At 37.8% G+C, this 21,431-nt stretch overlaps 1 protein-coding gene across 4 annotated transcripts in view; it reads left to right on the top strand.

Annotated features, from left to right (window-relative positions):
• CDH2 (cadherin 2) overlaps positions 1-21,431 on the top strand; it is a 244,252-nt gene that overhangs the window by 167,419 nt on the left and 55,402 nt on the right. For all 4 annotated transcript variants that reach the window (XM_017025514.3, NM_001792.5, XM_011525788.1 and 1 more), the window contains 6 exons: positions 3,719-3,863; positions 6,543-6,715; positions 16,075-16,212; positions 16,872-17,057; positions 19,362-19,615; positions 21,046-21,188. In XM_017025514.3, the coding sequence (XP_016881003.1) occupies positions 3,719-3,863; positions 6,543-6,715; positions 16,075-16,212; positions 16,872-17,057; positions 19,362-19,615; positions 21,046-21,188 (1,039 nt within the window). The remainder of the gene's footprint in view (positions 1-3,718; positions 3,864-6,542; positions 6,716-16,074; positions 16,213-16,871; positions 17,058-19,361; positions 19,616-21,045; positions 21,189-21,431) is intronic.

Genomic DNA, 21,431 nt, shown 5'->3' with positions numbered 1-21,431 from the left:
ATTCCAACCAGCTGATAATTCTGTGTATTAACAGTTCTAAATGTCTGCAGAGTTTACCATTGCCTCTTATATCAGTCTGAAAGCCTCAATACTGAGAGTTTTAAGAATTGTATCTGTAGTCTTTTGGTTTATTTTAATAATGTTATTGTTTTTATAGAATTGATAAATGCCCTCATAGAAAAACAAATAGTGCCCACAACAAAGAAAGAAGGAAGTGAAATTGCCTAAAATCTCATTACTCTTTACATATTGATACTTGCTTTCAGATATGTGGTTAAGAATCTGTAAGAACAAATTTATATGAATGGAGTCAAATCTGTTACATGTAAAATATATAGAGGTCACAGCATTGTTAATGAATGCATAGTATTCTAATCAAAGTGAATCCCCTATTCCTTTCTTATTTTGAATTTTCTTTGGGATTTCTTATTGCTAAGAACCTTTTGTCTAATTAGGAATGTTAGTGCTTGGTTTGTCCTACATTTTCTCCTTTTGTTTATTTCTAACATTGTCAATAATTTTCCCATAGTATAACATCGTTTTTACACTGCAAAATTCATTTTTAAAAATTTTATCATACATTCTGTCTTTCCAGAGATGTTGATAAAGGCCTTCCCTACTCCAGGATGCCAGTCTCCCCAGTTTTACTCCAGGATACCAATCTCCCCAGTTCCCCAAATTTTTGTTGTATTTACTTTTTACATTTGAATTTTTAACCTCTGCAGAGTTATTTTAATAAAAGGAGAGACCCACTTTGTTTTTCCTTTATGACTAGCTACTTGTCCCAACAGCATATATTGAATTAGTTTCCCCATTGATCCATCATCTACACTTAATCACTAAAACTTTCATCCCACATGTGCATGGATGTGTTTCCAGACTCTTATTTTGCCCACTGATACATTTGTTGAATTCTTGTACTTTTACCAACTTTTAAAATTACTGAAGTTTTTTCTTTTTTTTTTTTATATTATACTTTAAGTTCTAGGGTACATGTGCACAACGTGCAGGTTTGTCACATGTATACATGTGCCATGTTGGTGTGCTGCACCCATCAACTCATCATTTACATTAGGTATTTCTCCTAATGCTATCCTTCCCCCCTCATCCCACCCCACGACAGGCCCCAGTGTGTGATGTTCTCCACCCTGTGTCTAAGTGTTCTCATTGTTCAGTTCCCACCTATGAATGAGAACAATTATTGAAGTTTTTAAACTTCAATAGATTCACCTAGATCTAACAGACAAATAAGCATATGAGAAATTTAAAATGTCTTATGCACTGAGTATTGCTCTATACTTTCTCTTCCCAAAGACCTTGATTTCTTCATCATTCCATTTTTTAATATCATTGGAGGAATAGGTTATTCTAATGCTTTCCATATAGTTCTGAAACATAGGAAAAGAAGTAAAACTTCCAAACGTCTCACAAAGACAACATAGCATTAATAAGGAAACTTATTTTTAGATAGCACACAATATACCTGCCTCTACTTAGACTAATTTCTAATTTATGAATATAAATAAGATCAATTTAAAATTCTTAAGGATCTCTTCTTATAGGAATTCTCGCTTTCTGAATTCCTGTGGTTAAAACTCAGGAAATGAGTATATTCAGGTCAATTTTGGGGTAAATTATTGCTAAGTGCTTGCTACTTGCACATTAAAAGAGCAATACCAGTCGGGTGTGGTGGCTCACGCCCGGAATCCTAGCAATTTGGGAGGCCAAGGCTGGTGGCTCACTTGAGGTCAGGAGTTCCAGACCAGCCTGGCCAACATGGTGAAACCCTGTCTATACTAAAAATAAAAAATAAAATTATCTGCCTGCAGTGGTGCACGCCTGTAATCCCAGCTACTCAAGAGGCTGAGGTGGGAGAATCACTTGAACCTGGGAGGCAGAGGTTGCAGTTAAGCCGAGATCGTGCCAATGCACTCTTACCCTCCAGCCTGGGTGACAGAGCAAGACTGCATCTCACAAAAAAAACAAAAACAAAAAAACCCATAACAGAACAGAATTAATTGTAAAATTGAAAGTATTAAGGTTCAGTATTCAGATTCAATATATAAGTATAATTGTTTTAGTATTAAGAATCTATTAATGTAATGTAAGATATTAAATAAGCCAAGGGAAAAAAAAGAATTATCTCTATAGGTATTGAATGGCAGTATTAAAATTTACATTGTTTTTATGTGTTTAAATAACCTCTGAATTTAAAAAAGGATATGTTGAAGCTTTTTTTAATTTGATAGAGTGTATCCAGCAGCAACCAATGGCAAGCATCAGACTTAACATGAAAACTAGAAGCATTCCAGTCCAAAAGAAACAATTAAAGGAGCACTAAACAGCCATTGGAAAGAATGAAATGAATCTATTCTAGAGGAAAGGATTTTGATATTCTGCCAAGTGTAGCCAAATGAATATTTTTGTTTAAAAAGAAAAATAAGATAAAGTTTCTAGAAGAATACCTATAAAACTGAGAACTGGGCTGGGGAGAGGAACAGCTATCGTATATACTCGTATATATATATATATATATATATATATATTTTTTTTTTATGGAGTCTCACTCTGTTGCCCAGGCTGGAGTGCAGTGGCATGATCTCAGCTCACCGCAGCTGCCGCCTCCCAGGTTCAAGCAATTCTCCTGCCTCAGCCTCTGAGTAGCTGGGATTACAGGCACCCAGCTAATTTTTTGTATTTTTAGTAGAGACAGGTTTTCACCATGTTGGCCAGGCTGATCTCGAACTCCTGACCTCAAGTGATTCACCTGCTTCAGCCTCCCAAAGTTCTGAGATTACAGGCATGAGCTACTCACTGTGCCCAGCCATATACTAGTATATTTTTAATGTTTGTGAATGACTTTTACAATTAAGGAAAAGAAAAAAACTAGTGTCAAAATTTCCTATGTACACTTCTTTCTAGATTATTTTCTGTTGCCTTGATCTCTATCACTACTTTGTGCTACTTCCACTTCTTTTTTTTTTTTTTTTTTTTGAGACAGAGTCCCACTCTGTCACCCAGGCTGGAGTGCACTGGCACAATCTCGGCTCACTGCAACCTCGGGTTCAAGTGATTCTCTTGCCTCAGCCTCCCAAGTAGCTGGGCTTACAGACATATGCCACCAGGCCCAGCTAATTTTTTTTTTTTTGTATTTTTAGTAGAGACGGGGTTTCGCCATGTTGGCCAGGCTGGTCTCAAACTCCTGACCTCAGGTGATCCGCCCTCCTTGGCCTCCCAATGTGCTGGGATTACAGGCGTGAGCCACCGTGCCTGGCCTACTTTCACATTTTTAATTACCTTAAGTCTGTCTTCTCTACTGGTTTAGGGAAGGGATTTTGGAGCTGGACACAACTGGTTTTGGATCTAAGTCCTGTCAGCAGAGACAGCAGTGACCTTCATAAATTTCCTAGTCTTTCTGAGGCTCAATTTCATCTTCAAATGCTGAAAATTTCTGCCTCACTCTTTTGTACGTGAATTAAAGGAGTTAAAATCCATTGTGCTCTGAGAACAATGCCTAGCATATAGTAAATGATGGCTTTTTGCTACTATATCTATCCTAATTATATGGACTTGGTGTAACTTAAATTTTGATGGGAAGAACCGCTTTTGTTTTTCAGCTGTGAGTTTATTCTTGCTATTTTTGTAGCCTTATGATGATGTATTTATCTTCTCACAGACATAAATCTGTTAAATAGTTGTTTTCTAATTACTTTTGCAGTTGAGGGCACATGCAGTAGATATTAATGGAAATCAAGTGGAGAACCCCATTGACATTGTCATCAATGTTATTGACATGAATGACAACAGACCTGAGTTCTTACACCAGGTTTGGAATGGGACAGTTCCTGAGGGATCAAAGCCTGGTAAGTTTAAAGATAATAATTTGAAGATGACTTGAGGAAAGTATGGTGTAACCAGCCCTGTTATATGAGCAAGAAATGGAGAAATCATATGAGGCTTTTTGGATCCTTTTCTTTCATTCATAATGCTTTTGGGAAAGAAGGAAGGTAACTTAGGGAAAAACCAATTGAAGAGAGAAAAACAAAAAAAAAATCCTTCTTATTACTCATACTGATTTTTCCCACCTTTGAAAAAATATGCACTACAGTATTTGATTCTGTCCTGTGGAATACATAGGATCCTTTCGTTCTGCTTTAGTTGATACAGCCAATGCATCTTGAAAGTGAGCCCCAGAAGACGAGAGGCTTTCTGTTTATCAAGTACAGATGTGACTGTATGAGACGTAGCAGCAATTTAACACAGTGAGAAAGCCTTAAAGATACTTGACGTTCCTGGGACTAGGTGGCGAAGTCATAGCGAAAGCATGGAAGGGGCTTAGTAACATCTGTGATTGCTGCCCTCTAGCTCCACAGGACAGTTATTTTCAGGGTGGCCAGCGTGTCCCCTGCAGTTCTATCCCTTCAACCAGCAAAATGGAAAATGCCCTGGCCTAGAAATAGCACTTGTGGAAAGCCACTCATGATTGTAAAGTGGTATTTGACTAAGATTTTAGATTCTCGTATTAAAAATATGACACACTTCAGTCACAGTAGAAAAGCCAGGCCGCTAGAAAACCAGTGGACAAGACAATCAGTTGGTATAGGGATGGTAAAAGTAAGTGTTTGACCAGGCTTCCTGAGATGGCGTGGTGTTCAGAGAGATTTAATTAGCTATTGTATTTTTGTTTTGTATTTTTAAAAGCCTCAGCATTTAAAATTGTGCTGCATAATACCTTTGTCATTGACACCAGTTTATGCAACTCCCTTATGCATAAGTCAGTTTATAGATATAACCAACTATGCCTCAAACACATACATTTTCTTGGTCCAAGTGCATATCTCTGCCTCTTCAGAAAAGATGTAGGGGTAGGGTGGGGGCAGCTGGAGGGAGACCAGGGGCTGTGCAGGAAGTTCAGCCATCTGTGACTCCTTCTAAGTCACATCGTCAGAGTAGCTTTCTTCAGTATTTTAAAATACAGTAAAATTAAAGCAAATTCAGCATTTCCTTACTAAAACACAAGTCTTAGACAAATCTTCCAAAGAAAACAAACATTGGGCTTTTGGGACTGTGGAAATTTTTTTATATTATTTTCTTTTTTTTCTCTATTATTTCCAACTTTACAAGAATAGTTTCACAAAAATTGTTTAAAATGTGCCACTAAAGCTATATTTATGATGCATTTTACCATGAATTTCCATATGAGCCACCCATAAATAAAAGACTGTCAGCTATTGCTAGAAGTAGACATATTGTGAGTATATTTCTTGTGGTTCTTCTATAAGTTTGAAAACATCCTTCTAGGCAAGATTTGTGATGAATTTTGAGCTAAACTGCGTTGTGATCTATATTTTGGCTCACACTTCTGAAAGATACCTTTTTATTCTGATGATTTATTCATTCATTCAGCAAATGTTTATAAAGCATATGCTGTGTGGTAAGCCTTGTTCTGACACTGTGGATACAGTGGTGACAAGCTAGTTCCTGCCCTGTTGGAGCTTAAATTGTAGTAGGGGAGAGAAATAAAAAACATGCAAACAAGGAAGTACACACTGAAGGTTTTGAAAAAATAAGGGTGTAGGGATGACACATAATCAAAATAGGTAAATCGTTTAAAGGGACAAGTTCTGAAATGAGATTTGAATAATATTACCAAAGCACAGTTAGTTCAGAACCCAAGGTATACCATGGAGAGAGAATACCCAATGTAAACAGGCTGTAAGGTAGAACTGAACTTGAGTATTCAAAAGGAAGGTAGACTGGAGATAAACATTTCATAATTCAGTCCTTAAATGGATCCCACAGAACAAACCACTCTAAACAGTAACTACTTCTCACTCTACTTCTAAATTACAGAGTGTCTAGCTAGTTTGAACTAATTCGATACAAAGGCTTTGAAGATTTCTTTTCCAAAATATCTAATAAATTGAAGTCTCTAAGTTGGTTCCAATGTTCTTTTAATCACTGAGGAAATAATGAACCACGATGCCAAATCTCTATGCAATGTACCAAAACAGCAGTGCATGAAATGGTTCCTTATGACCTGAGGAAATGGAGTGTGCTGCTTTCTGCACACAGCCTACATTCGGAAAGTGACTCAGGCACTGGGGAGAATCATACTCAGCATGTTATTTTAGACATCATTGCATAACGGAAGAAAAGATGACAGAGGGAAGAATCAGCGGCAATAAATTACTTTTCTAATGGTATCTGTATTACCCATTATTTGCATTTTATATAAATTAAGGTCTAAAATGAACCTTTTTGGAATCATAAAGTGAATTTATCTTCTAAGTTATGGAAAAATTGAGTTTTTATAAATATGTATGTTGTATAATTTTTCATTCAAAGATCCAGACCAGGTTTTATCTTTTTTGAAATAAGTACTGTTCTTATGAGTAGCATTTTTAATCAAGTCTAAATGACTTTAAATATTTGTTTTTAAAAAGTGAAAATAAGACATATCAAAACAATAAATATACCTTCTATTTTGGGGTCCCTGGAATGAAGGGTAACCATTCATTTTCCATGTACACTGTCTCTAGGAACATATGTGATGACCGTAACAGCAATTGATGCTGACGATCCCAATGCCCTCAATGGGATGTTGAGGTACAGAATCGTGTCTCAGGCTCCAAGCACCCCTTCACCCAACATGTTTACAATCAACAATGAGACTGGTGACATCATCACAGTGGCAGCTGGACTTGATCGAGAAGTAAGCCAACCAAAAACTCTATTTGTGTTTGTTTTTAATCTTAAAGGTGCACAATATCATATCACATACATTTTATCTCCACATCACAATATACTCACAGTGTTATTCAAATGCTAATCGTTTTCATTAAGTAATCTGTTGTATATTTTTCTGCAGAGCTTCAAATTGGTTAAATGATGTATATATACTGGATAAATCAATGCTAGCCTATGTAGTTTTTAATGTGACACTGACTAAGCAATATTCTCTGGTATCTAATTTTTAAAATTTTTAACATTTCCTCATTTTCCTTTATAGTCAAAGGTTTTTGTGAGGAATTAAAAATCACAGCCAAATAATTTGCACACAAACTTAGGATAATTGTTAATGCTTGTGTTATTAAAAGGCTGCAAATAACATGTATGTGATTTGGTTTTTTGTAGCCCTTGTGAATAGTCTGACATAGTATATAGTAGATTATCTTCTTTATTAGAACTAGCCCCTTAACTCTATGATTAATTTACTTAAAAGATTTAAGCAGTAGTAACTGCATTAATTCTACCCACAAGTATTTAAAGTTAGAAATACAAAGAAACACATTTCTGAAATAACATTTAGTTGAAAATGTATGCAATGTTGAAGGCATTGAAATACTATGCAGTATCACAGTCTGAGATGGAATGGGTACTTCTTTTAATTCCCAGTGGGCCATCTCAGTGTTACAGGCCTCGACCCACTGTGCTCCTACATACCCCTGTGTTTTTGTACATGTGATCCCCTTGGCCAGGCATGCCTTGCACCTTTATCTTGATCTTGGATCTTCTAGTTCTTCCGGTTCTGATTCAAGCACTGCTCATATTCTTTCCTGAAAACCCCACTCCTGGTGAAACTTTTTCATCCTTTCTCGATTCTGTCCTGACTATTTTCTTACAGACTCTCAAGGTCATTATTTTGACCACATGTAATCATTGTTTGAGTGAAATATCAAAGCGCCAACTCATAGGGAGATCTGTGCTTTGTAGATTTCTGGCTGAGCCAGCTTTTACTGTAATGAGACTTAGATTATGTATGTCAAAAGGAGACATTATACCCACTGCAATAAAATATCATTGACAAGGATTTTAGAAGTTCGTGTTTTTTGACACTTTATTTGCTATAGAAGCATTCATTTGAATTGAATAGAAGAAAACATTACTATTGCAATTGTTCACACAAAATAGTGCTAGAGGCACTACAATAAAGTAATATGAGCCAATAAAGATTAGTTTATTCTGAGCTGAGAGCCTTACTTAGGAGTTAGTGTATGCCTATGACATTGTACCTATTGACTTGTAGGCATCAACAGTTCTTTTTCTAGAAATGATTTGCATCAGAGATTGTTGGACTCAGTTTAGTTTCTTAAGTAGTACTTTTAGTTCAGTAACATGTGTATATTTTCACCTCTTCATTGCTATATGAAATACTATTTTTATATGCCGATAAACTCAGCATGAATGCCATAATTTATTAGAGAATATGGGGTAATTTTCAGTATTCTTTCTTCAGTGCCAGGTTGCTCATATACCAAGTAGATTTAGTTCATTTCATAATCCTAATATTTCTCTTTCATTCACATTGTCATTGTGAGATACAGAAATGAGACTTCATCCTGTTTTCATATGGTAATATTCCTATCTCATTTAGACTGGATGTTTTATGGAAAGAAAGAGGCATGGAAAATTAAAGATACTTTTTACTAAAACAGACCAACCATGTTTAAAAATCAGACTGTATTTCGTTTAGAGGATGAAAGCCTGACGTGAGGCCATAATTGTCATTAAGTTTATCTTCCAGTGGATAGAGAAGCTGTTCACTACCCCTTGATTAAACTAATGTGGAAATGGATTTGAAACTATAGAATTATGGGTTAGATACAGTATGAGAAATAGCTTCTTGACAGTGAAATTATTAAACACAACAATGAGTTACTAGGGAAAATTATGGAAAACCTTCCTTTTCTGAAAGTCATTTAACATAGAAAAAATGCATCTATCTCGGATGGTTTATGATAATTCTTCCTGAGGCCAGGGATAAATTACTTTGACTTTTTCAGGCCTCGTGCAGACTTGAAATTCTTTTATTTCTATTAGAATTCACAGTTTCCTTTCTGTCAAAAGTAATGTGTGTTCTCGTGCTCTCAGGATGTATGACACCTTTAAGTGATTGAACTCCTAATCATTGAAATGCTTAGTGAGATTCAGCTTTTTATTTTTGTTTAATCTTCAGGTTTTAAAAATTTAGTTTTAATTCTTCAGCTTCTCCAGACCTAAAGGTGTATTTGCCACATTACCCAGTCTTCAGCATTTGTTCCCATCTGTCCTCTTGTGACATTACTTGCTGGTAGTATTCCTGGCCTTTCCATTTCATGTCCATTTTCTGCCCTTTTTGTGCAGGACTGTCAAAGACTCACCCCTGCTCCCCCCAGGTTTGAACTCTGGCTCTGCTTAGTATGGGCTGTTTGACTTTCAGTGTATTAACCTGAAACCTCAGCTCCTGCATCCATAAATGGGGATAATAGTATTACCTACCTCATGGGACAGTTTTAAGAATTATGTAACATGACACATAAAGCATTCAGGCCAGGCACGGTGGCTCATACCTGTAATCACAGCATTTTGGGAGGTTGAGGTGGGTGGATGGCTTGAGCCCAGAAGTTCAAGACCTGCCTGGACAACATGGCGAAACCCCATCTCTACAAAAAATACAAAAATTAGCTGGCATGGTGGTGTGCACCTGTAGTCCCAGCCACTTGGGAGGCTGAGCGGGAGAATCACCTGAGCCTGGGAGGTCAAGGCTGCAGTGAGCCGTGATTGCACCACTGCACTGCAGCCTGAGTGGCAGAGTGAGACCCTCTGTATTAGTCTGTTCTCACACTGCTATAAAGAAATACCTGAGACTGGATAATTTATAAAGAAAAGAGGTTTAATTGGCTCACAGTTCCGCATGGCTGGGGAGGCCTCAGGAAGCCTACAATCATGGCAGAAGGCACCTCTTCACAGGGCGGAAGGAGAGAAATGAAGAGTGCAAGCAGGGGAAATGCCAGACGCTTATAAAACCATCAGATCTTGTGAGACTCATGCATTATCATGAGAACAGTATGGGGGAAACTGCCCCCATGATTCAGTTACCTCCACCCGGTTCCGCCCTTGACACATGGGTATTATGAGGATTACAATTCAAGGTGAGATTTGGGTGGGGACACAGAGCCAAACCATATCACCCTGTCTCAAAAAAAATGTATATATATATACACAAACACACACACATATATACATATATATACACACACACACATATATATATGTATATATGTATATATATATAAATTTAAAAGCGTTTTAAAAGGCATTCAGCACAGTGCCTAATAAATCTGAGCTATTGTTTTCCCCACTGCCATCATGAATAGCAACAGCAGCATCTCCTGGTTGAGCACTATCTATCACCTTTACTCCTCTTCATAAGATGAAAGAAATACTTCCTGTTTTCCAAACCTAATAATCTTTCTGTTTGTGCCTTCAACTCCTAGTTCCATCCTGAAGGGGTGTTCTCCTGTTTTCTGTTGTCTTCAATCTTCCTTCCTCTACAGGTTGCTTCATAATCTACAAACCTGCTGGGTCTCCACTGTGGTAGCATAGCTCTCCATGCCCTATAGGATGAAGTTAGAGCTTTTTAATAGTGCATTCCAGACCCTCTGTGACCTTGGCCCCAAAACCCTCCTTAACCTAACCCCCCAGAATTACTTGCCTTTCACATACAAATGATGCCCAACCACTCATTGAACCACACACAGTCCTTGTGCAAATAGGAAGTTTTCTATTCTTCTGTTCCCGTTTCCTCTGCCTAAATATTGTTCTCCTACATAACAGGCTAATCCTTACCCTCTGAGAGCCAGTTCTCAATCCCTTCTCTGATCACCCACAGTAGTCTCTGCATACCTCTATATAGACTGTGTTACACAGAAAGTATATCTGGATTCCCATTCTCAACATCCAGTGGGGCAGATATTCCTTGTCTCATTACCCTGAACATGAATTGTAAAGAAATGTTTAAGTTACTATACTTTACCTGAGTTCCACACCAGTCTTCTCCAAGGGGCACCCAGCACTCAAGGCAGGCAGATCAGTTGAGCCTAGGAGTTTGAGACCAGCCTGGGCCACATGGCGAAACCCTGTCTCTACTAAAAATACAAAAAATTAGCCAGGCGTGGTGGTGCATGCCTGTAATCCCAGCTATTCAGGAGGCTAAGGTAAGAGGATCACCTGTCACCTGAGTCTGGGTGGTCAAGGCTGCAGTGAGCCATAATCGTGCCACTGCAGTCCAGCCTGTGTGACAGAATGAGACCCTGTCTCAAGAACAAACAAGCAAAAAATACTTCCACTCCTTCCTTGTCCACTTGAAGTCCGGCTTTCCACCTGCTTCCCCCGCTTGACCTGTGCACATGCTGCATGTGTGCAGTACTCTTACCATCTTAGAGGGCACTCACGTAGTGGATTGGTTAACGGTACAGATTCTTGACCATACCTGAGTTCAAGTCTATTATCTGCCTCTTATGGCTGGGTGTCCATGGCAAGCTCCTTTACCTTCCTAAGCCCATTTCCTCATCTGTAAAATGGGGTTTCAAAACCCCACCTGCCTCATAGGATTATTGTGAGGACTAACTGAAATAATGCATAGTGCATAGCACTGTGCTGGGCACATAGTGCTCAAACTCAATAAAAGTTGTTTTTTGTTTTTAAATCAAGGCCCTTGGAACAGTGCCAGCATGTAATATGTATACAAAAGAAAGACCACATTTATAAGGTAGATGGTACTTTTAGTCCCATTTCACAGATGAGGGAAGTGGGGCTTAGCAGTTAAGAATTTGAACAGAGTTGGCCAGGAGTGGTGGCTCACACCTGTAATCCCAGCACTTTGGGAGGCCAAGGTGGGCGGATCACGAGGTCAGGAGATGGAGACCATCCTGGCTAACACGGTGAAACCCCATCCCTACTAAAAATACAAAAAATTAGCCAGGCGTGGTTGCGGGCGCCTGTAGTCCCAGCTACTCGGGAGGCTGAGGCAGGAGAATGGCGTGAACCCGGGAGGCAGAGCTTGCAGTGAGCCGAGATTGTGCCACTGCACTCCAGCCTGGGCGACAGAGTGAGACTCAGTCTCAAAAAAAAAAAGAATTTGAACAGAGTCACAAATCTATACTTCCCTCCTAAGTTTCGGTGACATTGTTATTCAACTCTCTGTCCCCAACCCAATTTATCTAGAGGCAAATCTGTCATCTCCTGAAACCCGTGATTTATGATGAATTTCCTATTTCACGTGACCAGGACCTTCTCCTCAGTCTCCCAAGGTCATCGTTTAATTGCCTTTCCCATGCCCTGCTGTCCCTCTACCTGCAATCTGTTTAGTCATCAAGTTCTTCTCTTTTTACTCAAAGTAATGACATTAAAAGTAATGGCAAAAACTGCAGTTACTTTTGCACCAACCTGATAGTTGGTATGCACTATTGAAGGTTCTTCATATTACTTCTTCCTACCATTTCTAGACTTGCACTCATGCATTTGGTGGCTCTATATGGTCCTGTGATCCTTTACTCTCTGCCTCCATCACTTAGTGAAAGCAAGGCTGTATCTCGTTTTGGTCACTGTTTTACCCAAGTAAATACTCCATTGCCTGGCATTTTGAAGACATTTCATTAAATGTCTGCTGTATGAATGACTGAATGTTCTCACCTCCTCATTCACTGATGTCACTCAGTGTTTCAAAATTGTGCTGCACGTGCATAAGATTTTAATTGGTAAATGCTGAGAAGCCTCTAGGACAGCAAGCGGACACAGCCTTTCACGTGCTACTTCATCAAGTAGAGACTGCCAGAATCCAAGAATTTCATCATGTTTATTTTTTACTGTCATATTTATGATAACTGATGCTAGCTTTCCATTTATGGGACTTTTACAATAAATTAAGCTTTAAAAAGGGAAATTAATGTCAATATAAATAGGAAGTGACTCATAGTATGAGGAAATGTTAGAATTGGGACTACTGTGCATGAATCACTGTGGTTTTGGGAAAAGGTGAGCTAGTTTATGCTCCCAGTATGGGTTTTAAGAAGTAAATTATAGCTATCCATGTGAATAGAAGATGGCTTTTTCTTTACCTGAGATAAGATCATGCAAAACCCAAGGTTTCTTATGCATTCACCCATCCATCCACCAAGTCAGAAGCATTTGTGGAATTCTTACTCTGAGTCAGGCACTGTGCCATATATGCCAGTGGCACAAGCATCAACAAAGCAAGGGCCCTTGGGACACGTGTGTGTGTGTCTGTGTCTCTGTATGCACACACATGCACAGTGAGGCAGATACAGACATACGACTGATAACAGCCATATAAACTATAAACAGTGATGGGGTGTGTTGTAAGGGCTCTGTCCTGAGGACACAAACAGCTCTTCCTCAAGAACTTTCAGAAGTCGTCTCCAAAGTGACTTGTAAGCTGCATGTTAGCCAGGCTTGGAATGAAGGGAATGGTATTCTAGGCAAGGGTTTCTCAGCCAGGACACTATGACATTTTTACTTGGTTATGAGGCCTGTCTTGTGCATCATAGGCTGTTTAGCAGCATCCTTGGCCTCTACCCATTAGATGTCGGTACTGAGTTTGGTTGTCACAACTAAGGAGTGCTTAGTTGTAACAACCCAAAATGTTCACTCTGTGTAACATCCACTTGTCTAGGCAGAGGAGAATGCCAAATGGAATGACACAGGATCATGACAGGGCATTTGAAGATAAATGCAAAACAGCTCCAGGTGTGGGGTAAGCGAATGGGAGGAATCACTTTTGTAAAATAGGCGAGTTTCGGAGAGGGAAGGATTGACAGCAAGCAGATGATTTTGGATTTTATTCCATATAGAGCAGGAAGGGAGGAGAAGTTTTCAAGCAGAATCCCCTTGATCAGCTGAGGTACTATGAGAGTGGGAAGTCGAACACTTAACGGAATCTAAATGTCAGTCATTCACAGCCAGATGCCCAATGACCAAATTAGGCAAGAAGCTCTAAGCAGTTCAGTTGTCTAAAACACAGGCTATCAAGCCTTCCTTACTAAATATAAGAATGTTTTAGCAATCTGGCATTTGAAAATGGAGATGACATTATTTACTATTTACCAAGTGGAATTTTTTTTTTATTTGAAGAGATATTGTACTTTGGAAATAACAAGTGTCCTTTTGTAATTTAAAATTTCCAGACTAGCTTGCAGCAATAAGAAATTTCAAGTATTAGCTACTAATTCCAATATTGCAGATCAATGGAAAATTATTGGATGTATTATGCTTACATAATTCTAAAGATTTTTGTAGACTAGACATTAGGAAATAACTATACTTTCATGTAATACCTATGTGAGTTAACTTCTTAAGAAATAAGCTTCCTTTTTTTCTCTCTTTTTGAGAATGTTCATCTGTTTCTGCAAATAGCAGCTAACAAAACTGACATTTCAAAAGTCATAAAAGTTTTTATTTTCATGGTTTTCAGCTGGGAGGCTGAACTGAATGTCCTGCGAAATTCTCTCACTAACCATGAAAGCATTAAGCTGAAGTGACACTTCTAATTGGGGAAGGAAAGCAACTGAAGAAGTATTATAGCCTATGTTAACATTTTTTTTTTTTTTTTTTTTTTGAGATGGAGTCTCATTCTGTCGCCCAGGCTGGAGCACAGTGGCACGATCTCGGCTCACTGCAACCTCCGCCTCCTGGGTTCACGTGATTTTCCTGCCTCAGCCTCCCGAGTAGCTGGGATTTCAGGCGCCCACCACCACGCCTGGCTAATTTTTTGTGTATTTTTAATAGAGACGGGGTTTCACTATGTTGGCCAGACTAGTCTTGAACTCCTGACCTCATGATCCGCCTGCCTCGACCTCCCAAAGTGCTGAGATTACAGGCGTGAGCCACCGCACCTAGCCCTTAGCCTATGTTAACATTATAGTGAGGTACTGTGGGTTAAGAAAAAATTAAATGACTCAACCAACATTATTTCTTACTGCGTGTGTGTTTTTTAATTCAAAATAGTGTAACATTTTCTCTTTTTGGAAGACAAAAAATAACTGAAATAAATAACTGCTAGAGATTGGCATTTGGGTGGACAGACAGAGACTTAGAATCTAGTGTGGGCGGTTTGGCTTTCCTTCCTACTCCTTTCTTTTCTTTGCCCCTCCCCCTGACAACTAAATCAAAAGCTACAATTTGTGTGTGTTCTATCTAAGCTCCAGAAATCCCTTAAGAATGGCCATTCATAATGTTAGCTATATTTAGAAACAGGGAAAACTGCACTTTGCAGTGACAGTTTATTTTTGTATGTAGCGGATTTTGTTGTTCAGAATGTTTTAACATTTATGAAAATGATCACTGTTTTTGATCTATCTGCAAATTTCCACAGAGATTCCAAATGATTTTAGATATTGTTTAAAGTTAGGTTTTCCTAATATAAAACTTACTCAGCAAATGCCTGACTTCTCAATCTCAGCATTTTCTCTTAGATATATTATAGCTTAATTTGGCTCTTTTAAAACAGTCAACCTGGAATTTGAAAGTAGTGGATGCCTGTCTAATAATAATCATCTACATGTAAATGTATCAATATTTATATCCATTGTAGGTCTGTGCTTAAAGCAGTGGACACAATGAGTGTTATACCCAAATCCTAATCCATTGAATATGCAGTTATCAAATATATGCCCTGTTAGAAGACTATGGAAATAAACGGAAACCCTTCAAGTTTTGACTTTGTTTAAGAATACTGTATATCTCTTCTATATGGTTTTGAATCATATGTATCAATAGAATTTAAGGGGAAATATTGCATCTACCCTGTAATAATAGAATATATGTAAGAACATATAAAAGGAAAGCTTATATACTTTGTGAATTATGTATGTGTTCTTCTCCCTGTCTTGAGATTCTTCATTGTTTTTAGTATCCTAAACTGGGTAGAAATTAACATAGAAGAAAGTAAATACGAACCAAATGACTTGAATGCTTGATCACAATCTCGTGAAGTGAAGAAAGGCAAAAGTTGGAACCAGATGGAGGTTTCAGCTTAGCTGTGAATTTCACACATCTGCAGTGCATTCCTTTCTGCCAGTAGAGGTGAATATACACAGTTAAATCTCTCTAGACAAGGACCAGACCTGTGCTTCATAAGTTAAAGGAAACTCCACTTGCGAAATTTCAAGTCATGTTAATCAGAATGAATGATGCCATGCTCTCCTTGCATTATAAAGAGCCGTTTACAGAACAACTGTTATGTCTTCTTGAGGAATTAGTTTCATTTAAGTTCTTATCTTTATGTCTTTTTAGAAAGTGCAACAGTATACGTTAATAATTCAAGCTACAGACATGGAAGGCAATCCCACATATGGCCTTTCAAACACAGCCACGGCCGTCATCACAGTGACAGATGTCAATGACAATCCTCCAGAGTTTACTGCCATGACGGTGAGTACAGCCTGTCACTCACACAACTTTGGGTCTGTAGTTCGTTACTGAGAAGGTTGGTCATGAATAATAAATGTGTTAAATAGAGGTGGAACTTGCTTCACCTAATAGTAGCATGGCTGCTAACTCGGACATTTCTGTCATCAGGGCCTTACGTGAGGCATCCAAGTAATTTGTTTCTTCGTAGTCTTCAAGTCCACTGTTAAAGTTGTTAAAATAAGCTGCCTGGAAAACACGTCCTAAAAAGACTGTGCTGTTACAACAAAATGCTTATGAATATTTTCAGGTGCATGAGCTGCATGACTGATTTATGCTACTTTGTCAGCATATAATTATCCATATCTGGAGTAAAATCATTTTGCACAGACAAGTTCTTTCCCCCACCCCACCATAATCACCCAGAGACTCACAAATGGATGCTGATTTTAATATTAATGAAACTGTAAGGTAATTTGGAAAAAAATTGGACTACTGAAAAATGTTACAGTATTTTTAAAGTCAGACATAAATGCTGTGATTACCTGCATTATCAGTCTCCTCATTTAGTGTAGATAATAAAAATCTAATGGGGCAGTAAAATCGGACGGTGTGGTCATCAAGACAAGTTGTCCTTCAGTGGTCCATGCCCCTCCTCTGACTGAGGTTTGTCTTTCTCGCAGTTTTATGGTGAAGTTCCTGAGAACAGGGTAGACATCATAGTAGCTAATCTAACTGTGACCGATAAGGATCAACCCCATACACCAGCCTGGAACGCAGTGTACAGAATCAGTGGCGGAGATCCTACTGGACGGTTCGCCATCCAGACCGACCCAAACAGCAACGACGGGTTAGTCACCGTGGTCAAAGTAAGTGTTCCTCGGGCCACTGATCTCTCCAACAGCTGCTCAGCAAGGACCAATATATGTCCCCCACTCATTGTTTTGCAATGGAAACTTAGGACGTTTTTCTTTCAGACATCTCCAGATGTGGGTCTGATATATATTTGGGAGGTTATATCTTACTGTTTAATTTATGCTGAGGCTAAGGCCAACATCAGTACTCTCACATCATCACTGATGTGAGGGTTTTTGAATGAGTTTTATGATGAGAGTTTTGTGAGAGTTTTTGAATGAGAGTTTTGAGTGAGAGTTTTGATGATTGTTTTTGAATCAGTTTGGACAGTTTTTACCAATCTGAGGATAGGACTGGCCTGAACAACATTAACTGTTAGTGTAGTTGATATATTCATGATATATCACATTCTGAAATTTTGATCACCATTGATAGCTATTAAGAATGATGCCTCACAGCTGCTATTTTCATGTCTACAGCTATTAGAATATTGGCAGATAGTGAACAAACCAGAAAAGCCATAGAAGAAAAATGTAATGAGTAGGCAAGAAGAAAGCCTGCATTTTAGAAAGCTCTTGCATTTGCATGGCTGTTTTTAAATGCTATTTCCGAGACGTTAAGAAATGTATTCTTCTGATCTTATGGTCAAAAAGGAACCAAACAAAACAGTTGCATGCTAGAAGCCAAGGGGATGTTCTTCAAGAATAATAAATGCGTAGCTATAATGGAAAAGCCTGTTAAAGTGAACATCCCTTCCTTTTAGCCACCCAGTAAAGAGATTTACTTCTTTGCCTCCCACTTAAGCACTCTTGATTTGTAAGTGAACCTAAATATTGACCTTACATAGAAAGATGTGCTAAAGTGCCAGTTGCCAATAATTATGCAGATGCGGGAGTAGAATAGAATGGGAATGGAAACTCTCAGAAGGAACATAGTGATCAAAAGCACCAACTTGAGTCTGCTGTCTGTGTTAGAGTCCCAGCTCTGCTCCTGATATCTGTGTGATCATGGCCAACTATTTAACCACTGTAAATTCTAGGTTTCTTATGCAGAAAGGGGCTGATAACAGTATGTTAGTCATAGTGTTCTGAGAGATAAATGAGCTTCATACACATTAAAGGACTTTGAACTGTGCATATACCCCTTAGCATAAATGTTACATCAGGGGAAGGTTTCGTGTGGCTAGTGAAATCACTCTAAATATTGCAGTCTTAACTTTCTGGCTTTTTTTCTGTCTTGCTTAAAATACTAGAGAAAGGAATGTTGAATTGGGGATTTAGAGAGAAAAAAAGATGTGTTTGAAGATTTTTAAAAGGTGGTCTAGGGTACGAAACTGGTGCAGTTTCTGCTGATAATGAAGCTTTCTTATGAGCGTCACCTCTCGATCATTCTTAGGCTACCAATTATGAGCCTAAGAGATCTTAATGCTCTTGTTTTTCCTGTTATTACTGCACAGTAATGCTTATTTGCACATCCATTCGCAGGTGAACAAGGAAAATTAAGAGTGAATGTCCAGTCTAGTCATTTGACTCCTGGTAATATTTCTAGTGACAGCAAGATTCAGTGAACTTTGGAAGTTAGTATTTACATGAAGGGTTATTTGTGCATTGCATTTATCTAGAGTGTTTTTCTTAAATTTGGGGGTTTTACAGACCAATAAAATATCCAGAAATATTCCAGAAGACAGCAGAGTTTTAGTTTGCTAAGAGGAAAAGAAAAATATCTTCCACCTACCAACAGTATTATTTTTAAAAGGTGTGTGTGCGATTATGTATACATGTTTGTACTGCAAAATGTGTACTTCAAATTATGAAAGGTACTTTTAAATCAAATAAGTTTAGCTGTATTTAAAAATTACATTTTCTGATTTTTGGTTTGTTTTCTTCAATTCATCATAGACTGGTGAAAGCTTTCCTGGGTGAGGAGTGATCTTTGTACTAATGTTTGAGAGTATACATTTAGACCATCATGTTCTCACTTGACTTTATATTATTTAGTATTTTTAGTCAACAATGCTATTCTTAAGAATAATCAAGTTTTTAGATGTACCTAAATAAATAAATCTGTGCAGTAATCATGTGCACTGTTTTGTGAACATAAATCTTTTAAGTACTCAAGATTTATAATTAGGTTAAATTGGGATAAATATTTTGATAAGTGACCATGCTAATGCATGTTTTCCAGAAACTTGAGAGGAACCTTGTTATGTAGTGAATGAAGAAATTAATTTTTTGGAAATGGAGTTGATAGAGGAATAAACTACAGAATGCAAGCATTCTTATTTCCTGCAAAAATATGGCTTCCCTTTTATTTTCCAGCCAATCGACTTTGAAACAAATAGGATGTTTGTCCTTACTGTTGCTGCAGAAAATCAAGTGCCATTAGCCAAGGGAATTCAGCACCCCCCTCAGTCAACTGCAACCGTGTCTGTTACAGTTATTGACGTAAATGAAAACCCTTATTTTGCCCCCAATCCTAAGATCATTCGCCAAGAAGAAGGGCTTCATGCCGGTACCATGTTGACAACATTCACTGCTCAGGACCCAGATCGATATATGCAGCAAAATATTAGGTATGAAATGCTGTTTGTAGTGTTTTTGTAGCTTACTTATGTTCTATGCTGTGCATAAAATTTATCTAATTCACTATTTGAGTAGAAATTTTCATTGCAATCAAAACTACTTATTAAAAGATAATTTAAAATTCTTTGAATTTTCTTCTCAGTAAGTCAATGACTATATTAGATATAAATAGATATCTGTATCCATATTAAAATGGATTTACTATTTGAAGAAAAAGCTGTTCTTGTTTCTCTGTATCTGCCATTTTTACTTAAAAAATACTTTAAAATTATTTAGCCTGTGCCTTTATGCCAAACATCACAAAAAGGTTCCGCAGGGAACTTTCAGAGGCTTATAACATTTATCTCTCCTCCATGCATCATGAAGGAAAGAAAGCTTATGCCAAAACCAGGATCTAAGAGTTAATTATTTTCATTCCTTACCTGTACAGTAGTTATTGGACTTATGAAACCTATCTGTAAAGATTTCCAAACTCAGCAAAATGTAATTTATCCTTTCTGATGAGGGAGTGGATGGTTGCCAGAGCACACCCCATGCGACTGTTCTCCAAAGCTGGTGATGATCATTTTTAAAATGAACTTATATTTCATTAAACTTCTTACAGAACTGCTGCTAAAAGATAACTTTCTATTGTTATCTTTTATTAAATGTTAAATGTTCTCCATTTCTCTATTCACTGAAATCAAGATAACTATTAATAAATAGCCAGTTAATAGATGTATTGAAATCCTACAACTTGTACCTTTCCAAACATAGCATACCTTTTCCAATCCAACTGGTTATCTAATCTTTAAAAGTTAATCCCCACTCCAAATTTTAAAAAGGAATTTAAGCTGATAAATCTGCCAATTCAGACTCAAGACTGTAGGACTTTCTTTGCAAAGGTATAGATCTGAGGCTTGGCCCAGTGTGAAAGATTCAAGTAGGAATGGGATTATGGTGGTCTCTCCAGTGTGGCTTCATGTTGGCCATGATAAAGTGTTAAAATGTTTTAGGAGTGTTCTGTGATGCAGTATTCAATTTCTATTATAATTTCTCTTAACTCCTGTACATTGAGACTACTGCTTATCTAGAAACTATATTCAAGCTATTTTACCTGAACCATTGATATCTGTTGAAGTGGACAAGAACCTAAAATGATAACTTTCCAATCTGCTTTAGCCCACATTAGGGAGACTGTGCACCTAGTCTTGTCCCTCAGACACCTGTAGAATGTTTCCTACATGCCTGACCAAACACAACCTTTATGTGCCTCCCAATACCACTGTCACAAAAATACTTTTTCCTGTTAAAGCTGTATGTCCAGCCATCATCTACAGAAATGCAAGTTAATGAGCCAGTTGCATTTGGAACTAAACCTGTAAAATATGTTTTTTTAAAGTTTCATAAAAAGAAATTAAACTTCACTTTCATTTTGTAGATACACTAAATTATCTGATCCTGCCAATTGGCTAAAAATAGATCCTGTGAATGGACAAATAACTACAATTGCTGTTTTGGACCGAGAATCACCAAATGTGAAAAACAATATATATAATGCTACTTTCCTTGCTTCTGACAATGGTATGTTCGCTGTTTTTTCTTGTATGTTGATGAAAGACAGTAGATCCTCATCATGCATGCTCAGGAATTAAAGTTTTCTACAAAACTCAATTGCCTGGAAAACTGACTTTTATAATTCCGAGGTCCAGCTTTTATTTATCATTTCAGACAGGTGTTCTGGAACATCCTTCACTGTCTTTGCAATGACTGTTCTCGATGTCCATCCATCGTTCATGTAGACATACCTTTGTTATCTTATTGTCC

The sequence above is a fragment of the Homo sapiens genome, chromosome 18 (assembly GCF_000001405.40).
Source record: "Homo sapiens chromosome 18, GRCh38.p14 Primary Assembly".
Classification (NCBI taxonomy): domain Eukaryota; kingdom Metazoa; phylum Chordata; class Mammalia; order Primates; family Hominidae; genus Homo; species Homo sapiens.
The sequence above is the reverse complement of the archived record's forward strand: the minus strand, read 5'-3'. Positions and strand labels throughout refer to the sequence as shown.